This window comes from Homo sapiens, chromosome 18 (genome assembly GCF_000001405.40).
Source record: "Homo sapiens chromosome 18, GRCh38.p14 Primary Assembly".
NCBI lineage: Eukaryota > Metazoa > Chordata > Mammalia > Primates > Hominidae > Homo > Homo sapiens.
In genome coordinates, this window is record NC_000018.10 from 58496397 (window position 1) to 58519371 (window position 22975).

General features: G+C 44.5%; 1 protein-coding gene across 1 annotated transcript in view, besides 2 other annotated features; it reads right to left on the reverse strand.

The window, feature by feature from the left end:
• Window positions 1–22975, reverse strand: part of ALPK2 (alpha kinase 2) — a 147845-nt gene that overhangs the window by 15150 nt on the left and 109720 nt on the right. Inside the window, exons 9-12 of the mRNA NM_052947.4 lie at window positions 20512–20786; window positions 18597–18685; window positions 7535–7752; window positions 1653–1701 (exon numbers count right to left, since the gene is read on the reverse strand). Of these exons, the coding sequence (NP_443179.3) occupies window positions 1653–1701; window positions 7535–7752; window positions 18597–18685; window positions 20512–20786 (631 nt within the window). The remainder of the gene's footprint in view (window positions 1–1652; window positions 1702–7534; window positions 7753–18596; window positions 18686–20511; window positions 20787–22975) is intronic.
• Window positions 15105–15876: an enhancer, noted in NCBI's record as "OCT4-NANOG-H3K27ac hESC enhancer chr18:56178733-56179504 (GRCh37/hg19 assembly coordinates)". NCBI's record gives its function as "activates a minimal SCP1, AML or CMV promoter by ChIP-STARR-seq in primed H9 embryonic stem cells {active_cell/tissue: H9 hESC(primed)}" and the evidence as "EXISTENCE:reporter gene assay evidence [ECO:0000049][PMID:30033119]".
• Window positions 15877–16646: an enhancer, noted in NCBI's record as "OCT4-NANOG-H3K27ac hESC enhancer chr18:56179505-56180274 (GRCh37/hg19 assembly coordinates)". NCBI's record gives its function as "activates a minimal SCP1, AML or CMV promoter by ChIP-STARR-seq in primed H9 embryonic stem cells {active_cell/tissue: H9 hESC(primed)}" and the evidence as "EXISTENCE:reporter gene assay evidence [ECO:0000049][PMID:30033119]".

The following is a 22975-nucleotide window of genomic DNA, read 5'->3' on the forward strand; positions in this document are numbered from 1 at the left end:
CCAACATAAAACTTCATCATCACTGAGCCATCCCAGGGAAAAGGTCCAAACCGCATTCTGGTTCTAAAACCCAACTGGAAGCTTTGTGCAATCGGCGAGAACTTCATGAATCAGACTTACTGACCTGGAGGTTAAAAGAAAGAGCGATCCCCTTCCTACTTTTTCAGATTCCTCTACTTCTCTCTGTCCTTTATTGAAGCTGAAAATTAGCATATTTGTTGGATCGTGGCTGACACTGATGGTCTGAAGTAACCAGAAAGCTCCCACGGATAAGTTGTTCTCAGCCTTGGGAAAGGAAGCTGGATTCATCCCACCACTTTATTTTCTGTGTTTCTGATGCTTTGACATCTTGTGCCTTACTGGCCCTGGAGAGACTTTACTCCTCTCAGGGCTGCCATATTCCTAGAGAGAGTAAATGATCACCTTCCAGAGAGCCTTTCATATATATGCAAACCAACCAATCCAGAGCCACACCCCTAATACCCCCTCTGTGGTCTCTCATACTGGGGCCACTGTCCACCTGCCCTAATCACCCCAGTGCAGGTACCAGACACTAGGGCCAGCCCTATGTCCCAGAGACTGCTGGAAAATGTCAAATTAGCCAATCCTAGGACTGTTTATCCTCCCTCACCTATTCCTTCCCGAATAAACCATAATATTCTTGCCTGCATTTTCCCCTCACTTCCTCTGCCTCCCAACTGGCCCTGCTGCTTCTTAGATGGCCCCTGGTGGCCTGGTGCCCCCTCTTGGCAGCTGCAAGTAACAAACTAGCTTTTCAATGGCAACTATCTCCTGATCTGTTGACCTTACGATACCTCATACTAATAAAACCTACATTTTGAAATAGAAGCCATCCCCTCCAAAAGTCATGAGCTCTCTTTTCCTCCCCCTTACAGATGGTCTTAGTACGTAGGAAGAGCAGGAGTGGGCAAAGGCGATGGTGGTTCCAACACAGAATTGCATCTTCACCAAGAACAACAAATGGCTGGCTTTCTCCTCAGTGGCAGTCAAGTAAAGAAGTGGGAAGGGGCAGCTTGTTAAAAAGATGCCCCAGTAAAATGTGATCATAGCATCATCTGTGTGTGCCTCACACTAAGCAAAGCACCACTCTGTATTAGAAAAATAAAGCCATCATCAAAAACAGGTAACTAATCACAGCTCTGCCAGAGACATTGCCTCCTATGATTATCATCATGGGGGTCTGTGAGCTGCCTAAAATACTTTTTGGAGAAAAATTAATTTAAAATATACAAATTGAATTCACTGCATTCAATTGCAAAAAAAATTTTTTTTCAAAGAAGCTTTTAATAGTGAAGATATTAAATGTAAAAGAACGGAATATTCCCAGTTAAAAGGCATCCAAGTAATGCCAGCATTTTCTCCCCGTGGTACTCCTATTGGTTATTAATCTTGAAATGTGTTTGCAAGAGTTCTCATTTGTTTCAAAGTTAAGAAACAAATGTGCTCCCCTGTGAGAACAAAGTCCATAAATATTTTATGTAAGTGAGAGAAATGAATTCATTCCAAGAACATTCGTCATCCACAGTTAGGACAAGAAATTCACTTTGCCCACCTCAGCCTGACAGTGTCTGCCTGGAAGGTGTCTGTAAGCCCAGTGTTAATTGATGCACACTCCATTTTTTCCTACTCACCCTTTAGCCAGCGTTGCTATGCCAACGTCAGTTAGCTTCATTCCTACACCTACAGGAAGAGAAAGCAAAGATGGGAGTTTGTGTTACTCAGGGCCCCTCAGGAAGTTGGGCCATCTAGCCCCAGGGAAGGGGTAATGACAGCTCATCCTCCTTCTCCTTCCTGCATAAACACTCGAGGCCTCTTTCATATACGCATCCAGCTTTAGGCAGGGACCATGGGGAAGGTGGCAGTTAGGGGGAATCAAGTCTCATGTGAGCAGACAACCCAAGCCCTCTCGGCTCTGGAAATGAAGTCCTCTGCCTGCCTGGCCCACCCACCCCATGACAAGGAGGGAGCTGGCCACTCTGTGAGAAAATCTGAGGCCTGATGCTTGTCCCGTAAGCAATCTCCCCAGAAATACGGTGACTTTGGCTTAGGTCTGGCTCCCCGTTCTTCAATGAAAGTGGAAACCCTTACATGATGGAAAGAAAAGTAGGCACGGCCTGGGATAGTCAATGCCAATAGCAAGAGGGTTTGATATGGTTTGGCCATGTCCCCACCCAAATCTCATCTTGAATGTAGCTCCCATAATTCCCATGTGTGGTGAGAGGGACCCAGTGGGAGATAATTGAATCATGGGGGCAGTTTCCCCCATACTGTTCTCATGGTAGTGAATAAGTCTCAGGAGATTTGATGATTTCATAAGGGGCTTCTCCTTTTCCCTTGGCTCTCATTCTGTCTGTGGCCTGCTGCCATGTAAGACGTGCCTTCCGCCTTCCACCATGATTGTGAGGCCTCCCCAGCCACATGGGACTATGAGTCCATTAGCCTCTTTTTCTTTGTAAATTACCCAGTCTTGGGTATGTCTTTATCGGCAGTGTGAAAATGGACTAACACAGGGCTCAAGGGGCATGTGTTTAGTTCAAAGCCAAACTTCAGACATATGATTTCTCATTTCCATAAAGATCGTTTTTCAATTCAGGACTGAAGGTTTTCTGGGTGGTCAGTGTTAGACCCCGGGAAACAATCCTGAGTTCTATGTAGACACTGAACCAATGGCCTGGCGAAGCAGACATTTGGAACACGTGGTCCTTGGACTCATCCTAACTGCTACCCACTAAACCATGGTGGGGATAGGTGGGGGATATCAAAACCAAAACAGTAGAACAGCTACCTGAGCTTCCCACTCTGGTTCAGCAAAAAGCAATAGGCACCCATTGCAAGCATATGGAACCCTTTTTTGCATGTGCCTTTCCAGCAGGAGGGGTAGGGAGGGTAGCTAGGGAGCCAGGGAGGCAAAGGGAATAGACTATCCCACTGTTTTCCACTGTGAGGGAGGATAAGAGCTGCCATCCCCTTCTGTAGTGGAAAGAGCCACCCTCTCTCACTCTACCCCCAGTCTCAGCCTGCATCCTGAACCTCTCTCAGGTCTAGTGGAAAGTAAAGCACTTCCCTGATGCCCAGAGTGTGGATTCCCTCTTGACCTTTCCAGAATCTGCATGCCCTGACCACGCACCAATTCCATTCCTGTCTCCTTAGGGTGAGGGTTATGGGCACTTGCTCCAACGCAGTGGACCTCTGCCAGGACCTTACCCGTGCAATCTAGTGATGACATTTTATCCCATGGCCCATAGTGCCACCCCACCAGTGTGTCTGCACCTGCTAGATGCCTGGGTCCTGCCTCCTGTGCTCTTGCCCCTGCCTCTTGGGCTCCATGGGCCGGGCTGTGAGCACTGGCATTCCCCACCTCCAGCACGTGACTTGCCCATGGAGGGCCCTGGCAGCCTAGAAACCAGTTTGGGCTGTGGAAAGAAAAAAACTCAGCATCCCCCTAAAGCCAGCCATGAGGATCAGATCTGCTGGCCACCTACTTCCGTGGTTCCCCACCCAAGTGGAGTGCTGTTTCTGAGGCCCAGGAAAAGACAGCTAAAGGATTAATGCTCGGATTCAGCGTTATCTGCTGGGAGCATGGCAAAAACAAAGGACGTGTTGGGATTCAGGCTGGTTAGGCAGACAGAAGCCATGAGGCCTGCTTTTCTGCAGTGCACCTGTGAGCTAAATTAGACATGGCACTTTGGGAGAACCAGTGACCATTTTAAAAGTCTCTTTCGCAGTTGGTAACTAATTCATCTCATTCTTTCAAAGCCGCTAATAACTCAAACATATGTAGAAATGCTTCACATAGCTTTTATTGCAGGGACTATGCTTTGAAAAAAAAAAAAAAAACCCACCAAATTGCAAACGCTGTCTCTGGACATCTTGTTTCATGGAAAATTGTATTTTAAAATTACAGCTCTAAGCCGTATGGAAGTCCAATTTGAAAAAGTCATTTGGCAAAAGGTCCTTGAACTTGGAGAATTGCTTTCCCTTGTTTCCCACAATTACCAGCTGTCACTTACAGTTTAGAAAGACAGAATATAATTTTTAAAAGAAAACTTCCCCCTGTCAGTTTAATGATTTGCCAGCAATTATGTCAAGGTTACTAGGAATCTCTAGAGTCTAAAGTTAAATCCTAGTGTGCAGCTATCAAGCTGAGTTGGAGATAACAGTAATCTACAGGTTGTTTCTAACAGAAGAAAGGAAATGAACAGCATTAGAAGTTCATTCTCCACTTGGCTGGGCACAGTGGCTCATGCCTGTAATCCCGGCACTTTGGGAGGCCCAGGCAGGTGGATCGCTTGAGGTCAGGAGTTCAGACCAGCCTGGCCAACATGGTGAAACCCCGTCTCTACTAAAAAATACAAAAAAATTAAAAAAAAAAAAAAAGCTCATTCTCCAGAATTCAAGGTCTTGAGTTTTTTGGGTGACAGCTTGTTAGAAGGCGTGGTAGTCTCACCAGCATGCAGGTCTCAGGTCCAAATCACAGGCTCATCTTTTACCCCACAAACCTGCAGGACCTGGCATAATCTTCTAAATGAGCAAATGCAGCCAGGAAGAATTAACTTTTAAAAGTCCAAAAGGGTGGTGATAGAATTTGAGTTTAATTCTAATTCCAGTGTCTCTGTAAAATTATAAAAAGTGGAGTTTCCTTAGAGAATAGATGCGCTATCTCATGCCACAATGACAATGACAGTAAAAATATTTTTTGTCCATCAACAGAGAGTAAATAAACACCATTACTTAATGCCACACCACCACGTTAAACCACACACGTCATTTACAGAGAGATGTGATATTCCATTACTGTTGTTTACTAGTACCTGGAAGTGAAACTAACTGTGCATGAAGCCCTGGGTGCTGCTTTTCAGCATGAGAGCTGAATTTAATACAAAATTAATTCGCAAGGAGAAAAGATGGGGGACAGCAGCAATTGCACAGCCAGAGTCTAAATAGAACAAACAGCTGTCTGTTAAGACCATATGTTTTGTGTGTGTGTGGCAGCAAAGTCTCTTCAAAGAGTGAAGTCTGACTTAAATTTGCAGATTGGCTTCATCTGCAAGGCGGTAATGTTGCATTTCCCAGCTGGCTTGCAAGGAGTCCTTCCAAGGGCTTAGGAGGAAGAACCGTACACATACCAGAGCCCTCTAACATCAGGAGAGACTTGGAAAGGTCTGGAAGTAAATATCTTGCAAATTTGCTAAATTGTTATTTGTGGAAAGAACTTGGAATTCAGAGTCAGAAAATGCGGGTTGGAGTCTTGGACCCCTCTACTTACTAGCTGAGTGACAGCAGACAGAGACAATCACGGTCTCCAGGCCTCAGTTTTCTCTTCTGTAAAATGGGGATCATAATATCTATCTTCTCTGCAGGGTTATTATGAAGATTAAGTAAAAATAATAGAAAAAAATGAATGGATACAAAAACTGATGAAATCCAAGTCAAGTTTCTAGTGTAGTTGATTATATTCTGCCAATGTCAATCTCTTGGTTTTGATAATGTACTATAGTTATGTGAGATGTCACCATTAGGTGAAGCTGGTGAAGCATACGTGGGAATCACTCCATATATTTTTACAAATCCTTGTGAGTCTATAATTATTTCAGAATAAAGGCTGGGGCACAGTGGCTCATACCTCTAATCCCAGCACTTTGGGAGGCCAAGGCAGGAAGATCACCTGAGTCCAGGAGTTCAAGACCAGCCTGAGCAACAAAGTGAAACCCCATCTCCACACACACACACACACACACACACACACACACACACACACACACAAAGAAAAAAAAAAGGAAAGAAAAAATTAGCCAAGTGTGATGGCATACTCCCGTAGTCCCAGCTACATGGCAGGATGAGGCAGGAGGGTCACTTGAGTCCAGGAGGTTGAGGCTGCAGTGAGCTGTGTTTGCGCCACTGCACTCCAGCCTGGGTGACAGAGTGACACCCTGTCTCAAACAAATAAAAAAAAATGGGTTAAAAGAAATAGGAACCATTTATTATGTGGCAATGCTGCAATAAGCGCTTTACTATCTCATTTAATTCTCAAAACAACTCTGTGTGGAAGTTACTGAAGCACTGAGAAAGGTAATTTGCCCACAGGCTACCAGGCTGGAAGTGGCAGTGCAGGGAACAGAACCCCAAGGTGGTCTTGCTCTTCAACACCATGTAATAGCTAGAGCTTGAGATCCTCATCTGGGACAATATCTGACATTTGGTAGGCAGAAAATAATATAGTTCAGATTTTCTTAACAGCAAACAGAAATAGGAAACCCCTTGCAGCAGAAGCTGCTGGTGCCTTACCTATTGCCCACACCCCAACCACTTCTGTGCACCTGGCTCCACCTCTTAGTGCCACACCAGCATTTCTCTGCTTAAGAACTTTCTCTGATCATGTTTTTTATCCGGCTTAGCTTGCCCATGTGGGCAGGTGACAAGTGCAAGGGAGGTAATGCCCCCACCCAGAGCAGCCGCCAGCTGGTGATCCTGGTAGTTGGTGTATACACACTCCGGCTCCCTCACTGAGAAGTGTGCTTTGCAGGGCTCCCTGCAGATGTCAGCTCCAGCGCCCACGGCAGTCACTGGCTAATAATATACTCTACCAGTCGCCTTTCCTTCCCCAGTTGCACTTCCCTACTCCTCTACTGGCGTTTCCTGGGATCCCCTCTCAAATAAGCCATTTGTATGTGAGTACCTGTCTCAGGTCTGTCTTAGGGGAACCCTAACGATGACATCTCCATTCCATAGAAGAAATGGTATTCCTAAACAATTGTGTATACATTGAAAACATGCTATACATTCAGCAGAGAAGCTTAAAATCTAAAGCATTCTAAAGACTCTTTTGCCTATAGAGAATGAAGTACTACATCTTAATTTACCTTATGGTAGATCTGGATTTGAGAATATATTGCTGAGTTTAGGCCTATTGAGGATAGAACAGTAAAGCCAATCTCTGGTTACCTGTTGTAATGGGAAGGCATTATTGGCATGAATTATTGAAACGAAATGACCTCTAGACACAGTGGCTGACGCCTGTAATCCCAACACTTTTGGAGGCCAGTGTGGGAGGATCGCTAGAGCCCAGTAGTTCGAGACCAGCCTGGGAAACCGTCCAGGACGCTGTCTCTACAAAAAAAAAATTTTTTTTTAATTAGCCAGGTGTGGTAGAATGCATGTGCAGTCTCAGCTACTCTGGAGGCTGAGGTGGGAGGAATACTTGAGCCCAGGAGTTCAAGGCTGCAGTAAGCTATGATCGTGCCACTGTACTCCAGCCTGGGTGACAGAGTGAGACCCTGTCCCCCCCTAGAATTTTTTTAAATAAAAATAAAATGAAATGGCCCTCTGGCTGGTTATTTCAGGCTCCTTTATCAAATCTTGTTTCTGAGGAGGCATCAGTAACAGCTTCTGCAGGTAAAGGTGTTTCAAGGTACCCAGCAGGCCTATCCTTCCTCTCCCTCCCCTCCCTCTCCACCCACAGGAACATCTCTGGCCCACAGCATCCCTGGAGCCTGGGCTAAGCTGCTTTCCTCACCTTGCATGTCCGTCACCAGGAGGCAGCCACTTGTTTTCTGGTACACCCAGTGCTGGAAGGTGCAACATTTCTGACCAGCTTCTGATTCTCTTCTCAAGAAGTTTATTTCTTTCCCATCCCTGATGGAATACTTCACAAATTCTCCAATCAGCTCCTCCTCCACTGTAGCATACGGGATATTGTTCTCAGGCCGATGGATAAGAAAAATAGGAATGATCCTGGCAGGGAAGAGAACACAGGCGCACATCAAGGTCTCTACTGGGAAGAGAGGCTCCTGCGGCATTCTACTCTCTCCTGGAGCAGCACGGAGCATAGAATTTGTCCCCAATTCTGCTAGGTTTAGACTACAAATCCATCCAATGACTTTTTAGTGGGTAAGATATGTTTCTGTGTTTTATTTGTTGTTATAAATTCCTCCTTGGGAGGGGGTTTAATTGCTCATGTAGAAATGAATGTCTTCATTGTAGTCATATCTTAATGACCCATCAATCAATGACTATAATCTGTATATCCATTCATCCATTCATCTACTCACCCACCCATCCATTTGTCCATCCATTCATCCTTCCTTCCTTCCATCTATCCTTCCTTCCTTTCATCCATCCATCCATTGATCCTTCTTTCCTCTCATTCAGTCAACCAATATTTATTCAGTGGCCTGTATGTGTCAGATACTCTTCCAGATGCTATTCCTCAAAACAGCAATAAAGAAAACGGAGGCTGTGTTGTCAGGGCTCTCACCTTTAAATGAGGGAGACTGACAATAAACAAGTAAATGCATGGTGCTAAGCGCTAGGTGGGAAAACTCAGCAGTGAAGAGGAGACGGGCATGCGGTGGAGTGGGGCAGCTGTCTTATGTAGGGAGGTCAGAGCAGCCCTTGTTCATGGATAAAGAGCATTTGAGTAGAGGCCTATAGGAAGTGAGGGGAGCCATGAGGACATCGACGGTAGAGCATTCCAGGTCGAAGGCACCCCAAGGAGAAATGCTCAGGGCAGGAGCAGCACTCCTGGCGTGCAGCGGGAGTGCAGGGAGCCAGGGAGATTGGCAGAGGTTGGGGGAGGCAGAGGGGACAGGAAGTCAGGCCTTGGGGGACCTGGGAGACCATTTGGAAAACTTTCCCCTTTGTACTGAGTTGGATGAGAAGCCATTGGAGGATTTGGGGCAAGTGGGGAAGGGACAGGAGGAGATTTCTGCATGACAAAGATCACTGCCTCTCTGTGGAGAATAGGCCAGGGGCAGGGCAGGGAGACCGGGGCCAGGTAATGATGTCCAGGGAGCTGGAGCGGTGATCAGATATGGGATGGAGTTTCCAGCATTATCCATTTGCTGCCACATCATCCTACATGATGATTTCCTACCTACCTCTCTCTCTTCAAAGCACCTACACCTCCTCCCCCAACCGCACCCTCAGCTTCCTGTTTCAGTGTGCAGACTGAAGGTTTAGGAGGACCTCTAAGTGCTGCCACAAGCACATCCATACTCTCACCTCCCGGTCTGTGCCCACACACTGCGCCCTCTTCCTACTACGATGAGCCATCCCTGCTCCATCCTGAACCACCTCCTCTACAGGTGCCCTGGTCCCCGCCCCTCTCAAGTCCTCCAGGTATTGCTCCAGCAGTTTTTCCTTTCTCTCCTCCATCAATATTCCCTCTACAGAATCATTCCCAAGAGCCTAGCAGCATTCCATGATAGCTACACAGCATGGCGACCCCACAGCCCACCCCAACTACTGACTCACATTCGACATCGAAACGCAAATCCGCTGTAGACTCGCTGTCTCCAGTACCTCCCCTCCCATTCTCTCTTAAGCATCTGAAAGAGGCTTTCCCTCGAAAGAAGCCTCTATCAAGGGCAGCACGACCATCATGCTGTTAAGTCCAGTGTTCTCTTCTCGGCCCCCACCCCCTTTGCTCTCAGCAGCTCTGGGCACAGTGGATCTCTCACTTCTTTCTGATACGGCTTTCCCTGGCTTCCTCAAGGCTTTTCTCTGCTTCACTGGCTACCTCTTCTCTGTCTCTTCTGTGAGTTCCTCATCCTCTCCCCTTTAGACTCTGGAGGGCTCTGGAACAGCTCTTCTCTCTCTGCCCACAATCCCTAGCGACTTCCTTGCTTTAAATACCGTTCAGATGCCGATGGCTTCCACATTTATGTCCCCAGTCCAGCCCTGTCCCTGAGTTCCCTGCCCACCATCTCCACGTGATGTCTCATGGGCATCTCAAATTTAACTCTGCATTGGGCACACATGGCCATAAAGATGGCAACAGTAGACACCGGGGATTCCAAAAGAGGGGAGGGAGGGAGGAGGGTAAGGTTGAAAAACTACCTATTGGGTGCCATGTTCACTATTTGGGTGATGGGTTTAGTTAAAGCCCAAACCTCAGCATCACACAATACAGCCACGTAACACACCTGCACATGGACCCCATGAATCTAAAAAAAAAAAAGGAAAAATAAAAATAAAAACCAACCACAATAAAAACATTTAAATGATATTTAAAATTTTACCATGGCAGAAACTGAAGAGCTCATTTGCCCCCACCCCCCACATCTGCCTCCTCTCAGTGACTGGCAGCTTGTGAAAACTGAAACAATCAATTCATTCAATGAACATCCACTGAATAGCTGTGTCAGAATCCTGAAGACTCACCAGGAGGGCAGAGGTGACTAAGACACAGTCCCTGCCTTCCAGGGTCAGCCGTTGGGGAAGGTGCATGGAGAAGCAAAGCCCAGCACATAGTAAATGCTCCTGGCTCAAAATAAGTGTTTGGCAAAATATGAATGAATGAATGAATGAATATATATGTATGTATAATATTTATATATGTTTCTCAATTTCAGCACTGTTGACATCTGGACAGACAGTTCTCTGTGGGGGTGGCAGGGGGCCGTCCTGTGCACGTAGCCTGTTTAGCCGCCTCCCTGGCTTCTACTTCCCAGATGCCAGTAGTCCTTCCCGAATCCTGATCATCAAAAGTGTCTCCATAACCACCACTGTCCCCTGGGGGTTGTGAACCACTGACAGAGAATCTGATCTTACAAATTTGTAAATAGCCAGAGAAGAGATCACCTAGTTTAACATTGACCACGTAGATACCACTTTCAAGGGCCTAAAATAGAACCACTGATGGCGGGCCATAGAGGCAAGAGGAAAATGTGAGATGCTGACTTTTGATGTTCATTAATTTTTTTTTAGTACAAAATGTTTGTCAAATGAGTAAATCAACAAATAGGCTGTAATTATCTAATGTAGGCCCCTAACTATATGTTTAATGGATCAGAAGATCGACTTCTGGGAGGGACCAAGTGATCAGAGTGAAATGGCGGCGGGGCAGCTATAACAGAGACCTATGCATGCAAAGACGTGACCAGCTGCCCTGGGGTAGGGATGGGGCAAAACCCCACAAAGAGCCCTTAAATGAAAATGCCTCAAAAATGGCATGGGTTTTGAATCAGGATCTTTAAAGGTAATTGTGTAGAATAATCCCATATAACATAGTGGCCACACAACGTCAGGAAAAGTTGTGGGGGTAGCAGAGATGGGTGAGCTCCTCTGCTGCCCATGTGGTTCCTTTCTCCCTTGAATAGCGCTAGGACAGACCTGGTCACTTCTCTCTTGAGAGGGAACGTGGGCCTCTAGACCCCCTCTCCCAGTGGAATGAACACGTAAGGCTTGTCTTTCACAATAGGAAGGAAAGCTCGAGCTGGGACCTCAGGTTCTGTGATTGCCACTCAGGAAACCACCTTTGCAAAGACTGTAACAGTGAGAAAATTATGACAGTGAAAGTGATCTGACCTGACTCCATTTTCCCTTTAACCTTCAAGCTGCCCTTGTTCATTCCTGGGCAGAGGCCAAAGTAACTTTGGGAGGAATTTAGTTTATACTTTAACAAACACAGATGGTAACAGCCCCTCTCCAAAACAAAGCACCTCCTTACTTGGGGATCAGACCACCTTTGTAAAACCAACAACTTGGCCACAGGATTAGAAATTATGGCTCAGGTGTCATGCAGCCAGAGGCCATGATATTCCTACCTCCCCACTTGCTCCCATAGATAACATTACTAGTGTAAATCCTAAGACTAGTGTTTGAGGTATTTTTCAGACCCTGTATTCTGATGGATCAGCTGGTACCACCCAGACTGGTAAAACTGGATCATCTGGTCTTGTGGCCTTCACCCAGGAACAGACTCAGTGCAAGAGGACAATTTAGTCTCCCTGATTCCATCCCTGACTCTACTAATAATAAACAATCCCTATTTCCTAGCCCCCTGCATTCTAAACTATTAAAACAAACAAACAACAAAAAAAACCCAGGCCTCCAAATTTTCAGGGAGGCTGATTTGAGTAATAATAAAACTCCAGTCTCCCATTTAGCCAGTTCTGTCAGAGATGTGTGAACCAGAGCAGCTCCATCTTGAATAGGAGCTGGGTAAAAATAAGGCTGAAACCTACTGGGCTGCATTCCCTGATGGTTAAGGCATTCTAAGTCACAGGATGAGATAGGAGGTTAGCACAGGATAGATAGGAGGTTAGCACAGGATACAGGTCATAAAGACCTTGCTGATAAAACAGCCTGAAATAAAGAAGCCAACTAAATCCTACCAAAACCAAGATGGCGACAAGAATGACTTCTGGCCTTCCTCACTGTTACACTCCCACCAGTGCCATAACAGTTTACAAATGCCATGGCAATGTCAGGAAGTTGCCTATTTATATGGTCTAAAAAGGGGAGCATGGATAACCACCCCCATAAAAAGGGGCAACCAGCAGCCCTTGGGGCTGCTCTGTCTATGGAGTAGCCATTCTTTTATTCTTCTACTTTCTTAATAAACAGGCTTTCACTTTACTCTATGGACTTGCCCTGTATTATTTCTTGCGTGAGATCCAAGAACCCTCTGTTGGGGTCTGGATTGGGACCCCTTTCCGGTAACAGCTCTATGTATAATAAACTCTTTTTTTTTTTCAATTATACTTTAAGTTTTAGGGTACATGTGCACAACCTGCAGGTTTGTTACATATGTATACATGTGCCATGTTGGTGTGCTGCACCCATTAACTCATCATTTAACATTAGATATATCTCCTAATGCTATCCCTCCCCCCTCCCCCCACCCCACAACAGGCCCCCATGTGTGATGTTCCCCTTCCTGTGTCCATGTGTTCTCATTGTTCAATTCCCAACTATGAATGAGAACATGTGGTGTTTGGTTTTTTGTCCTTGTGATAGTTTGCTGAGAATGATGGTTTCCAGCTTCATCCATGTCCCTACAAAGACATGAACTCATCATTTTTTATGGCTGCATAGTATTCCATGGTATATATGTGCCACATTTTCTTAATCCAGTCTATCATCGTTGGACATTTGGGTTGGTTCCAAGTCTTTGCTATTGTGAATAGTGCCGCAATAAACATCCGTGTGCATGTGTCTTTATAGCAGCATGATTTATAATCCTTTGGGTATATACCCAGTAATGGGATGGCTGGGTCAAATGGTATTTCTAGTTCTAGATCCCTGAGGAATCGCCACACTGACTTCCACAATGGTTGAACTAGTTTATAGTCCCACCAACAGTGTAAAAGTGTTCCTGTTTCTCCACATCCTCTCCAGCACCTGTTGTTTCCTGACTTTTTAATGATCGCCATTCTAACTGGTGTGAGATGGTATCTCATTGTGGTTTTGATTTGCATTTCCCTGATGGCCAGTGATGATGAACATTTTTTCATGTGTCTTTTGGCTGCATAAATGTCTTCTTTTGAGAAGTGTCTGTTCATATCCTTCACCCACTTGTTGATGGGGTTGTTTGTTTTTTTCTTGTAAATTTGTTTGAGTTCATTGTAGATTCTGGATATTAGCCCTTTGTCAGATGAGTAGATTGCAAAAATTTTCTCCCATGCTGTAGGTTGCCTGTTCACTCTGATGGTAGTTTCTTTTGCTGTGCAGAAGCTCTTTAGTTTAATTAGATCCCATTTGTCAATTTTGGCTTTTGTTGCCATTGCTTTTGGTGTTTTAGACATGAAGTCTTTGCCCATGCCTATGTCCTGAATGGTATTGCTGAGGTTTTCTTCTAGGGTTTTTATGGTTTTAGGTCTAACATTTAAGTCTTTAATCCATCTTGAATTAATTTTTATATAAGGTGTAAGGAAGGGATCCAGTTTCAGCTTTCTGCATGTGGCTAGCCAGTTTTCCCAGCACCATTTATTAAATAGGGAATCCTTTCCCCATTTCTTGTTTTTGTGAGGTTTGTCAACGATCAGATAGTTGTAGATACGTGGCGTTATTTCTGAGGGCTCTGTTCTGTTCCATTGGTCTACATCTCTGTTTTGGTACCAGTACCATGCTGTTTTGATTACTGTAGCCTTGTAGTATTGTTTGAAGTCAGGTAGCGCGATGCCTCCAGCTTTGTTCTTTTGGCTTAGGACTGACTTGGCAATGTGGGCTCTTTTTTGGTTCCGTATGAACTTTAAAGTAGTTTTTTCCAATTCTGTGAAGAAAGTCATTGGTAGCTTGATGAGGACGGCATTGAATCTATAAATTACCTTGGGCAATATGGCCATTTTCATGATATTGATTCTTCCTACCTATGAGCATGGAATGTTCTTCCATTTGTTTGTATCCTCTTTGATTACATTGAGCAGTGGTTTGTAGTTCTCCTTGAAGAGGTCCTTCACATCCCTTGTAAGTTGGATTCCTAGGTATTTTATTCTCTTTGAAGCAATTGTGAATGGGAGTTCACTCATGATTTGGCTCTCTGTTTTTCTGTTATTGGTGTATAAGAATGCTTGTGATTTTTGCACATTGATTTTGTATCCTGAGACTTTTCTGAAGTTGCTTATCAGCTTAAGGAGATTTTGGGCTGAGATGATGGGGTTTTCTAGATATACAATCATGTCATCTGCAAACAGGGACAATTTGACTTTCTCTTTTCCTAATTGAATACCTTTTATTTCCTTCTCCTGCCTGATTGCCCTGGCCAAAACTTCCAACACTATGTTGAATAGGAGTGGTGAGAGAGGGCGTCCCTGTCTTATGCCAGTTTTCAAAGGGAATGCTTCCAGTTTTTGCCCATTCAGTATGATATTGGCTGTGGGTTTGTCATAGATAGCTCTTATTATTTTGAGATACGTCCCATCAATACCTAATTTATTGAGAGTTTTTAGCATGAAGTGTTGTTGAATTTTGTCAAAGGCCTTTTCTGCATCTATTGAGATAATCATGTGGTTTTTGTTGTTGGTTCTGTTTATATGCTGGATTATGTTTATTGATTTGCATATGTTGAACCAGCCTTGCATCCCAGGGATGAAGCCCACTTGATCATGGTGGATAAGCTTTTTGATGTGCTGCTGGATTCGGTTTGCCAGTATTTTATTGAGGATTTTTGCATCGATGTTCATAAGGGATATTGGTCTAAAATTTAATAAACTCTTTATTGCAATTTCCCTGTCTTGATAAATCAGCTCTGTCTGTACAGCGGACAAGGTGAACCCATCCAGCGGTTACATGCACACACCAGCTGGGGCACAGGTCCTGCCCTGCTCACTTGCTCTTGCCTCTGTGAGAGCTGGGAGTGTTCTCCCGGAACAATGCCCTGTACTTCTCCACCCAGGCTGTGCCTTCTCCCAGGAGGTAAGCTGAAGGCTTTACGTGGTTATTAACTTGAGCCAAAGGTGCTTGGAAAAACATTATTTTTTATTAAAACAAATATAGTCATAAAGGAAGGAGGACACAACATTCAATAGAATTTAAAAGCTATAAAATATTACACTTCAAAGAAATTACACCTGCGGGCCAGCTAATTTGGATGAAGCCCCCAGACCCTTTGACGGGCACACAGGCATCCTCCTGTGCCATTTAGGAGCATTTCCTGGAAACTGTGAGAATCCCCTTCACTTCATGAAGAGGACACAGAGGCTTGCTCATGAGCAGAATCTGAGCCAGAACAGTGTCCTTCTAGAACCCCACCCCTGGACACAAGGCCCCTCTAATACCAGCGTACCCTGATTACTATCATGCCAGAGTCTTTGAGACATTCTTTCTAATTTTAAGATAGAACCTCTTTGTGTCTTGTTAAAGAAATTTCAAATTTCAGCCAGATGGGAGTGGGCACATTAGGACAGTGGACCTTTCCCGCAGCCCTGAAATCGGTGCAGCCGCCAAGCCACCCTCTGTCGTGCTTTGTCACTTCTGCAGGATCCAGGGCACCCTGATTCCCTCCTGAGGACCGACCCCCTGTGGCTACTGACCCTTCTGCCAACAAAAGGATTCACGGTTTGCTTGGGCTCTTATTAATTCTGCATCCCTGGTGGGGAAAAAAACCAGAAACAAGAGCTGGGCATTATTCAGGGTCTTAATTAGGCCTGGCCTCTGCCCAGCAGGACGCCATTTGCATAGACAATGTGACTCCATTGATATTCATGAATTCAAAAACAGAAGCTGCCCAAATGAGGAGTGTTTTATCTCCAAGACCTCACATGCTCCGTTAAAAAAGGCTTCTTCAGGCCTGCTTCATTGCCTGGAAATAAATATGGGGGTGGCCCCAGCGGGGGTCAGTCTAGGGGCTGTGGCAGTGGGGGAGGGGGACAGGACTCCTGGTCCTCTCTCTAGACGTGCAGGCTTTCAGAGAAGGTTGGTAATATACAGGGTCAGCTCTGTGTGCGTGTGTTGTGTGTATGTGTTGTGTGTGTGGTTTGTGGTTGTGTGATGTGTATACGTATGTGTGGTGTGTGTGTGCTGTGTGTGTGTGTGGTATGTGTGTGGTATGTTCGTGTGGTGTGTATGTGTATGTGTGTATTGTCTGTGGTGTGTGTGTTATGTGGTGTGTGTTGTGTGTATGTGTATGTGTGTGGTGTGTGTGGTGTGTGGGGGTGTGTGTGATGTGTGTGAGGTGCATGTATGAGGTGTGTGTGTGTGTGTATGTGGTGTGTGTGTGGTGTGTTGTATGTGTGGTGTGTGTGGGGGTGTGTAATGCGTATGTGTGTGGTGTATGTGTGATGTGTGGGGTGTGTGGGGTGTGTGGTGTGTGTGTTGTATGTGTGGTGTGTGTATGTGTGGTGTGTGTGTGGTGTGTGTTGTGTGTTTATGTGGGGTGTGTGTGGTGTGTGGTTTGTGTGTGGTGTGGTGTGTTTGTGCATATGGTGAGTGTTGTGTGTTTGTGTGTGGTGTGTGTGTGGTATGTGTGTTGTATGTGGTGTGTGTTTGTATGTAATCTGTGTGGTATGTATGTGTGGTGTGGGGGTGTGTGTGGGGTGTGTGTTTGTGTTGTGGGTGTGTTTATGTGTATGGTGAGTGTTGTTTGTGTGGTATGTGTGTGTGTATGGTGAGTGTTGTTTGTGTAGGGGGTGTGTATGTGTGTTTTTTGGCTGTGGAGTCCTCTGATTTAGGTTCCATAAACATGGAGTCTGGCCCAGAGGCCCTTCTGAGGCCCCTTACTCCTCCCATGTACCGTCAGCATTCATGTGGTCACAAACTGTCCCCTTGTAAGGAATGGGAAAGTGGTTTAGATAGAAAAATGTCCTAACCTATCTTTAAGGCAGTGGCCTATTTACTGTGATGCTAATGCAGCAAATGAATCAGCCTCCTGATCCTTCACTTGCATGAGCCCTTTCCAAGTCCCTAGATCAATTATTTACAATTTTGTGTTCTTTTCTTTAAAAAGGACCCAAATTTGCCAGGCATGGTGGCTCATGCCTATAACGCCAGCACTCTGGGAGGCCGAGGCAGGAAGATCACTTGAGGCCAGGAGTTGTAGGCCAGCCTGGGCAACATACAGAGACCCTGTCTCTACGAGAAAATTTTTTTTAATTAGCCAGGTGTGGTGGTGAGCACCTGTAGTCCCAGTTACTTTGGAGGCTGGATCACTTGAGCCCGGGAGGTCAAGGCTGCAGTGAGCCGTGATTGCACCACTGCCCTCCAGCCTGGACAACAGAGGGAGACCATGTCTCTTAAAAAAAATAAAACAGAAAGGAAAGAAAGAAGCCCAAATTGCATAAGAGTCAAGCCACACAAAACTTGGGTCTGTCCCTGCTGGAGGGCACTGTGGTTCTGTGTGTGGTAGGGTTGACTTGTGGGTTAAATCTTTTCTTTTTTGAAGAAAACTTAAGAGGACAGACACTGGGAAGAGCGGGGCTTGGGGAAAAAAGGAGCCAGTTCCCATATCATGAAAGCTTAACTCAGTCCAGATGGCTGTCTGTGTAATTAACAGAAAAGCAATTGTAAGTGGGTACTGAAGTGTGTTAAGCATTTCTTGAGAAAGAGCAGAAAGTGTTATACTTTACACATGGTCTTCCAAATGTACCACCCAAGGGAAACTATTTTTCCCATTTTGTGAGTTAACAGGTGCAATGCAGACAAGAATTTCTTCCTTCTTCCTTCTCCCAGTTTTTACTCATAGGTAAATAGCTGCTCTGTCTGAAAGTTCCAACATGCACTAGCTAAGCCCTTTTTCTGTCCATTTAAGCATGCAAATATGATCTCAACCAGACAAAACAGAGCTGCAAACACAAGCTCCAGGCTCCCCAAAATTTGCTTGGGCCAGTAAATATTTAGGCAAAGAGCAGATAAAAGTGGGTGTGATTTATCTCTGGAGGATTCCAGGAAGCAGGTACTATGTTACTATGTTTCTGATCACCCAATCCACTCTTCCCTATTACATTGCCATATTTTATTTTCATCATGGGACTAATCGCCTTGTGATATCTCTTGTTCTGTTCTATTTGCTTACTGTTTAGACAATGTAATAGCTATGAGAGTAGATATCCTTTCTTTTCTATTTAACATGGTAGATTCATTTATTGGCTGGATTAATCCATACACCCATCCATCCATCCATTCATTTATTTAAAGAATATTTATCTTCTTAAATATTAAATATAATATTATTATATTATATAATATTAAATATCCTACCCAGCAAGGGGTAGGATAGCAGCCGTGTGAGCCCTCATGGAGCTTACAGACTGAGAGATCAGCTGAAACACTTGCCCTACTGTTCCTTCTCACTCTCTCGTCCCTCCTAGTCCCCAACGAGTCAGGAGTGTGACACAAGGCAGGGTAAACACACTTACTCAGGTACTTCTCCAAAGCCTTCCAGAGGCTGTGCTTCAGCAGCGTAGATCTTGGCATAATACCTGGCAGTATTTTGAACATAGCATTCCTATATCGCCAAAATACATAGAAAGCCCCAGTGACTACAGGAAATTCAGACAGTATTGCCCAGTAAGACTATTCAGGAGATTTCCCAGTAAGGTAAAGCCAATGAACTGACAAGCCCATCCCCTGGTTGGGGTCACAGAGGCAACGATTATTAGAACCTAGAGTTGGCCACTTAGGGAGGAGCTCTGAGACGTCAAGGAACTGTCCGGGTGGAGATCAAGTGGTCTCCAGGACCAGGTGTCCCTGAACTATAAAATTTCTCGAGCCGGCAGGGCCGAAATTCACCCCAGAACTAAGGGGACTGGCCCCTCATCACGTCATCAGGTGGCACTTGGGGCACTACTGGGTTTCCTGTGAGATCTGCCATTGCAAACCCTTTTCAAAGGTGTAATTGGAGTAGTCAATAATGAACAGCACAGGATTTCTGCCTTAGGAAAAGCTAAGTGGATTCTGCATCCTATGCTGTGGGGCTTTTCTGAGCAAGAATCCAGATGCTGGGAGGTTTTCCAAGACTGTGTCATATTTGAGATGGAGGGAATACTGAGAGAGAAAAGAAAAAAGCAGAGTGGATTGGGAGAAGAAAGGAATACAATGGGCAGAACACTATATTCAGAGAGCAAGGCTGCCTTCAGAAGCACAAAGTCCCACGTGGCAGTGCCGCAGGATCACGATGCTTAATGCTTGACTGTACCTGAGAGATTCATCTAAGTTTAACCTATGGATTTTAATATTTTAAATGTTTTAATTGTTTTAGATGTTTATGGTAAACATTTTAAAGGGGCACAGAGCTGGTGAAAGACCCAACTTTCTTGACAGCTACACCAGTGCCGGTGTAAACAGTGAAATATGTGGACCAGGTGTGGTGATTCATGCCTGTAATCCCAGCACTTTGGGAGGCAGAGGCAGGAGGATCACTTGGAACCCTCCAGGAGGTCAAGACCAGCCTGGGCAACATAGGGAGACCCTGTCTCTGAAAAAAAAAATAAAAATTAGTTGGGCGTGATGGCATGCGCCTGTAGTCCTAGCTACTTGGGAGGCTGAGGCAGGAGGGTTGCTTAAGGCCAGGAGGCCGAGACTGCTGTGGAGCCGTGATCATGCCACTGTACTCCAGCCTGGGGGAAAGAGTGAGACACTGTCTCAAAAAAGAAAAAAAAAAAAAGACGGAGTGAAATATATGGACCAAATATGTGGATAGGAGGAGGAAGGAGCGAGAGAAGCTAAGGCTCTCCTGCCCTATCCTCTCACCTCGAGTTCTATGACTCAATAACACAGAGAAGTGGGAACTCAGCTAGAGACTTGGGTCTGTCTCTCTTCCTATATTTTATACACTACCATTAAACCAAACTCAGGAAGGCAGAAAACAAGACCAATGCTGACCCTTCTGGGTATACCCCACCCCTCTCCCTCTCCACAAAACAAAACCAAACAAAACACTCCAGCAACTAGTGCTGATGTTATCTGTTCCTGGAGACCCTGGCATCTAGTGTAGCTTAGAACCCCCACTTTCCATATCATCCTAGGTCCAAGTAGACTCAAACCGCCAGGGATGTCATAGGGCTTCTTAGAAACAAAATCAATTATATCTCGGGTTAGAACTGGTGAGGTGTCTCTAGGCATTGGCTGAGTCCCCAGTAGCTGGCATAAGGCCAAGAAATTACTCCCGAGAATTGAGAAGTGATCCCCAGCATTGAGATTGAATTGAAACCCCAAAAGAGGAAAAACACCCTTTTGAAGATATTCCCATCAATCCTGAGTCTGATTTTCATCTCGTCTTATCATGGGTGGTTCTCACACCAGAAGTGACAGCCTTTGGGCAGATGGACCCACCTGGGCAGCGAGTTTGTAGTTCCTTTGGATGAGCTCATCATTATTTCTGGTCCCATAGGCAATGGCATTGTGCACCTTAAGCACACAGGCATGGCCAGGTTTGAAGACAGGCATGAGGCCGTGCATCACTGTGCTGCGGAAGGCTTTGCGGTGAACCCCTTCTCCAAAGTGCAGCTCCTCCGTGGCGATCTGACCACGCAGGCGGCCCCCAAAGTAGCTGTCATGGAGGAAGTCTTCTTTGAAGATGAGTTGGCTGAATTCAATCTCTTCACATCCTGAAACACAGCACAGCTTTGGTTGGAAAGAATACCTCCCAGTCCTGCTCCTTGGCTAACTCCACATGGGGAGGGTCCCCACATAAGGACAATGACAAGGCTGACCTGCAGAACCAAGAGGGGGCAGACACACTTAACCCTTCAAAAGAGGCATAGCTAAAAGAAGAGATGAGTGGTTTGGTGAGGAGGAGACAGGTCATTGAATGAGAATGTGGGAACATCAGGGATGGGTTGGAGCAAAACTGGAAAGATCAGGAAAAGAATTCTAGACAGATCTGGAAAATATAAGTGGAACCAAGCAAAGTAACAAAAGTCAAGTTGAAAAGATGGGAAAAGTGTAGAGGAGGGAAGAAAGACCAATGATAAGATCTGATAATATCGGACCAACCTTTCTTTCATTATTGCCCCCCACCCCCCGCAACCACGGAATCTTTGCTGGAATTTGTTTTAATTGCCTGCCATGAAAGTTTAATACCACAAATATACTATCTGTTTATGTACCATATGTATATTTGTTCTTTATACAGAAAAAGAGTAACTTTTTTTTTGCCTCCCAAGAACCAATGTTGGTCCTCTTGGTAGCAATACTGCCTCCATTGAGAAAGCATGTGATAAGTATAGGAAACAGGTAGCAATAAACAAAACAAAAAAATAATAAAAAGAATTGCCTTTGAAGAGAAATCGAAAAAAAGGTAGAATTATTTTGCATTTATTTGTAAAAAGAAAAGTAGAATTATTTTAAGTTTTCTAACAGCTGTTTTTTTTTGCAGAGTGGATTCTACACATGTTTGAGATGACAGTGAATTTAATCAGGAAGGTCCACTTTAAACTAGAGATGACCCAATCAGACTTCTCATTCACTGAGAGAAGAAAATTAGGTGGCTTTCAATGAAATAAGATTGTTTGGATTTTTAAATCCTTTCCACTTCTCAAAACTGATGAAAACTGACATCTTTCTGAATGTTTACAAGAAGAAAGAGATCATGGGTTGTGTGAAAAATCTTACTTCACATTTCTATATACATGCTTCAGGAAATATTTTTCTCTTCTTTTCAAAATATTTAAAATCATACGATTTGAGACTGATGGTAGCTATTAAAACTATAAGGAGACTGAAACTATTCTGATCGGGTATTGATTAAGGTCTCGGCCTAATTACTGCCAGAAAGAAAGAAAGGGAGTGGGGTTTGGTGGATTTTCAAACAGAAAAACTAGGTGAAGAGCTAGAATCTGCTTGAAGAAAGAGGATATTCCTAAAGGTGCTCCTAGCATTTTCACAAAGGCTAGCAGAAGACTATGGGACCCCTGAATATGCCACCCTCAAATCTGCCTCTTTGGTAAAAGCATTGTTGAGCTGAAGGTAATTAAGAAGAAGCAGAGGCAAGAAAGCTCTCTGCCTTCCCTCTATTTGCCTAAAATCAGGACATAAATTTATAAAGACAAAAAATATTCTACTCCCCCTTCTACCAGGAAGAACAAAGGTTAATGACTGAAGACAACTTTAGACCCTGATGGGCCTGGAGATGGACACCAGCCATTAACAAGCATTAATGAGAATCCAGATGCTGGGAGATTTTCCAGGGCTGTGGAAATGCCTTTCCACAAGCTACTGCCCTTACCTACTCAAAGTCCTTCCCTCTGCCCTGTCACTTCTCTAAAAATGCACCATTCTTTGTTGTAGATGCTGTATAAGCTGGAATTCAAACCCCTTCTTAAATGAGCACTTCTGGAGTATCTCCCATGTATATATGAATTATACATGTTCATAAACTTGTTTGATTTCTCTCATTAATCTTTTGTTACAGGGATCTGTTCCAACTAAGAACTTATGAGGACTGAAGAATAAATTATTTTTCTTCCCCAATAACTCCTACTGAGTAACCTGTCCTAGGTTTCTGGAGAGAACTGGGTTGGAGCTGCAGGAAAACAGGCAAATGGGACATTTTCTCAGATAAAGTTTTAGGCAATAGCTGGGTCACAGATTTTACTCTAAGTAACGGAACCAGGAAAAAAATTAATTGATGGAGAAAAGCACAGTTTTATTTTAACAGTTAAATTTAAAAATTAGGTGAGAAAATAGAGGGAATGCTTTTCTGTATCCCAAACCTTCTCAGTTTCATTCTAGTTATATGATTAATTTTAACAATTTGGCCTCTAATACCACTAACAGAGTATAGGAAATGTTATAT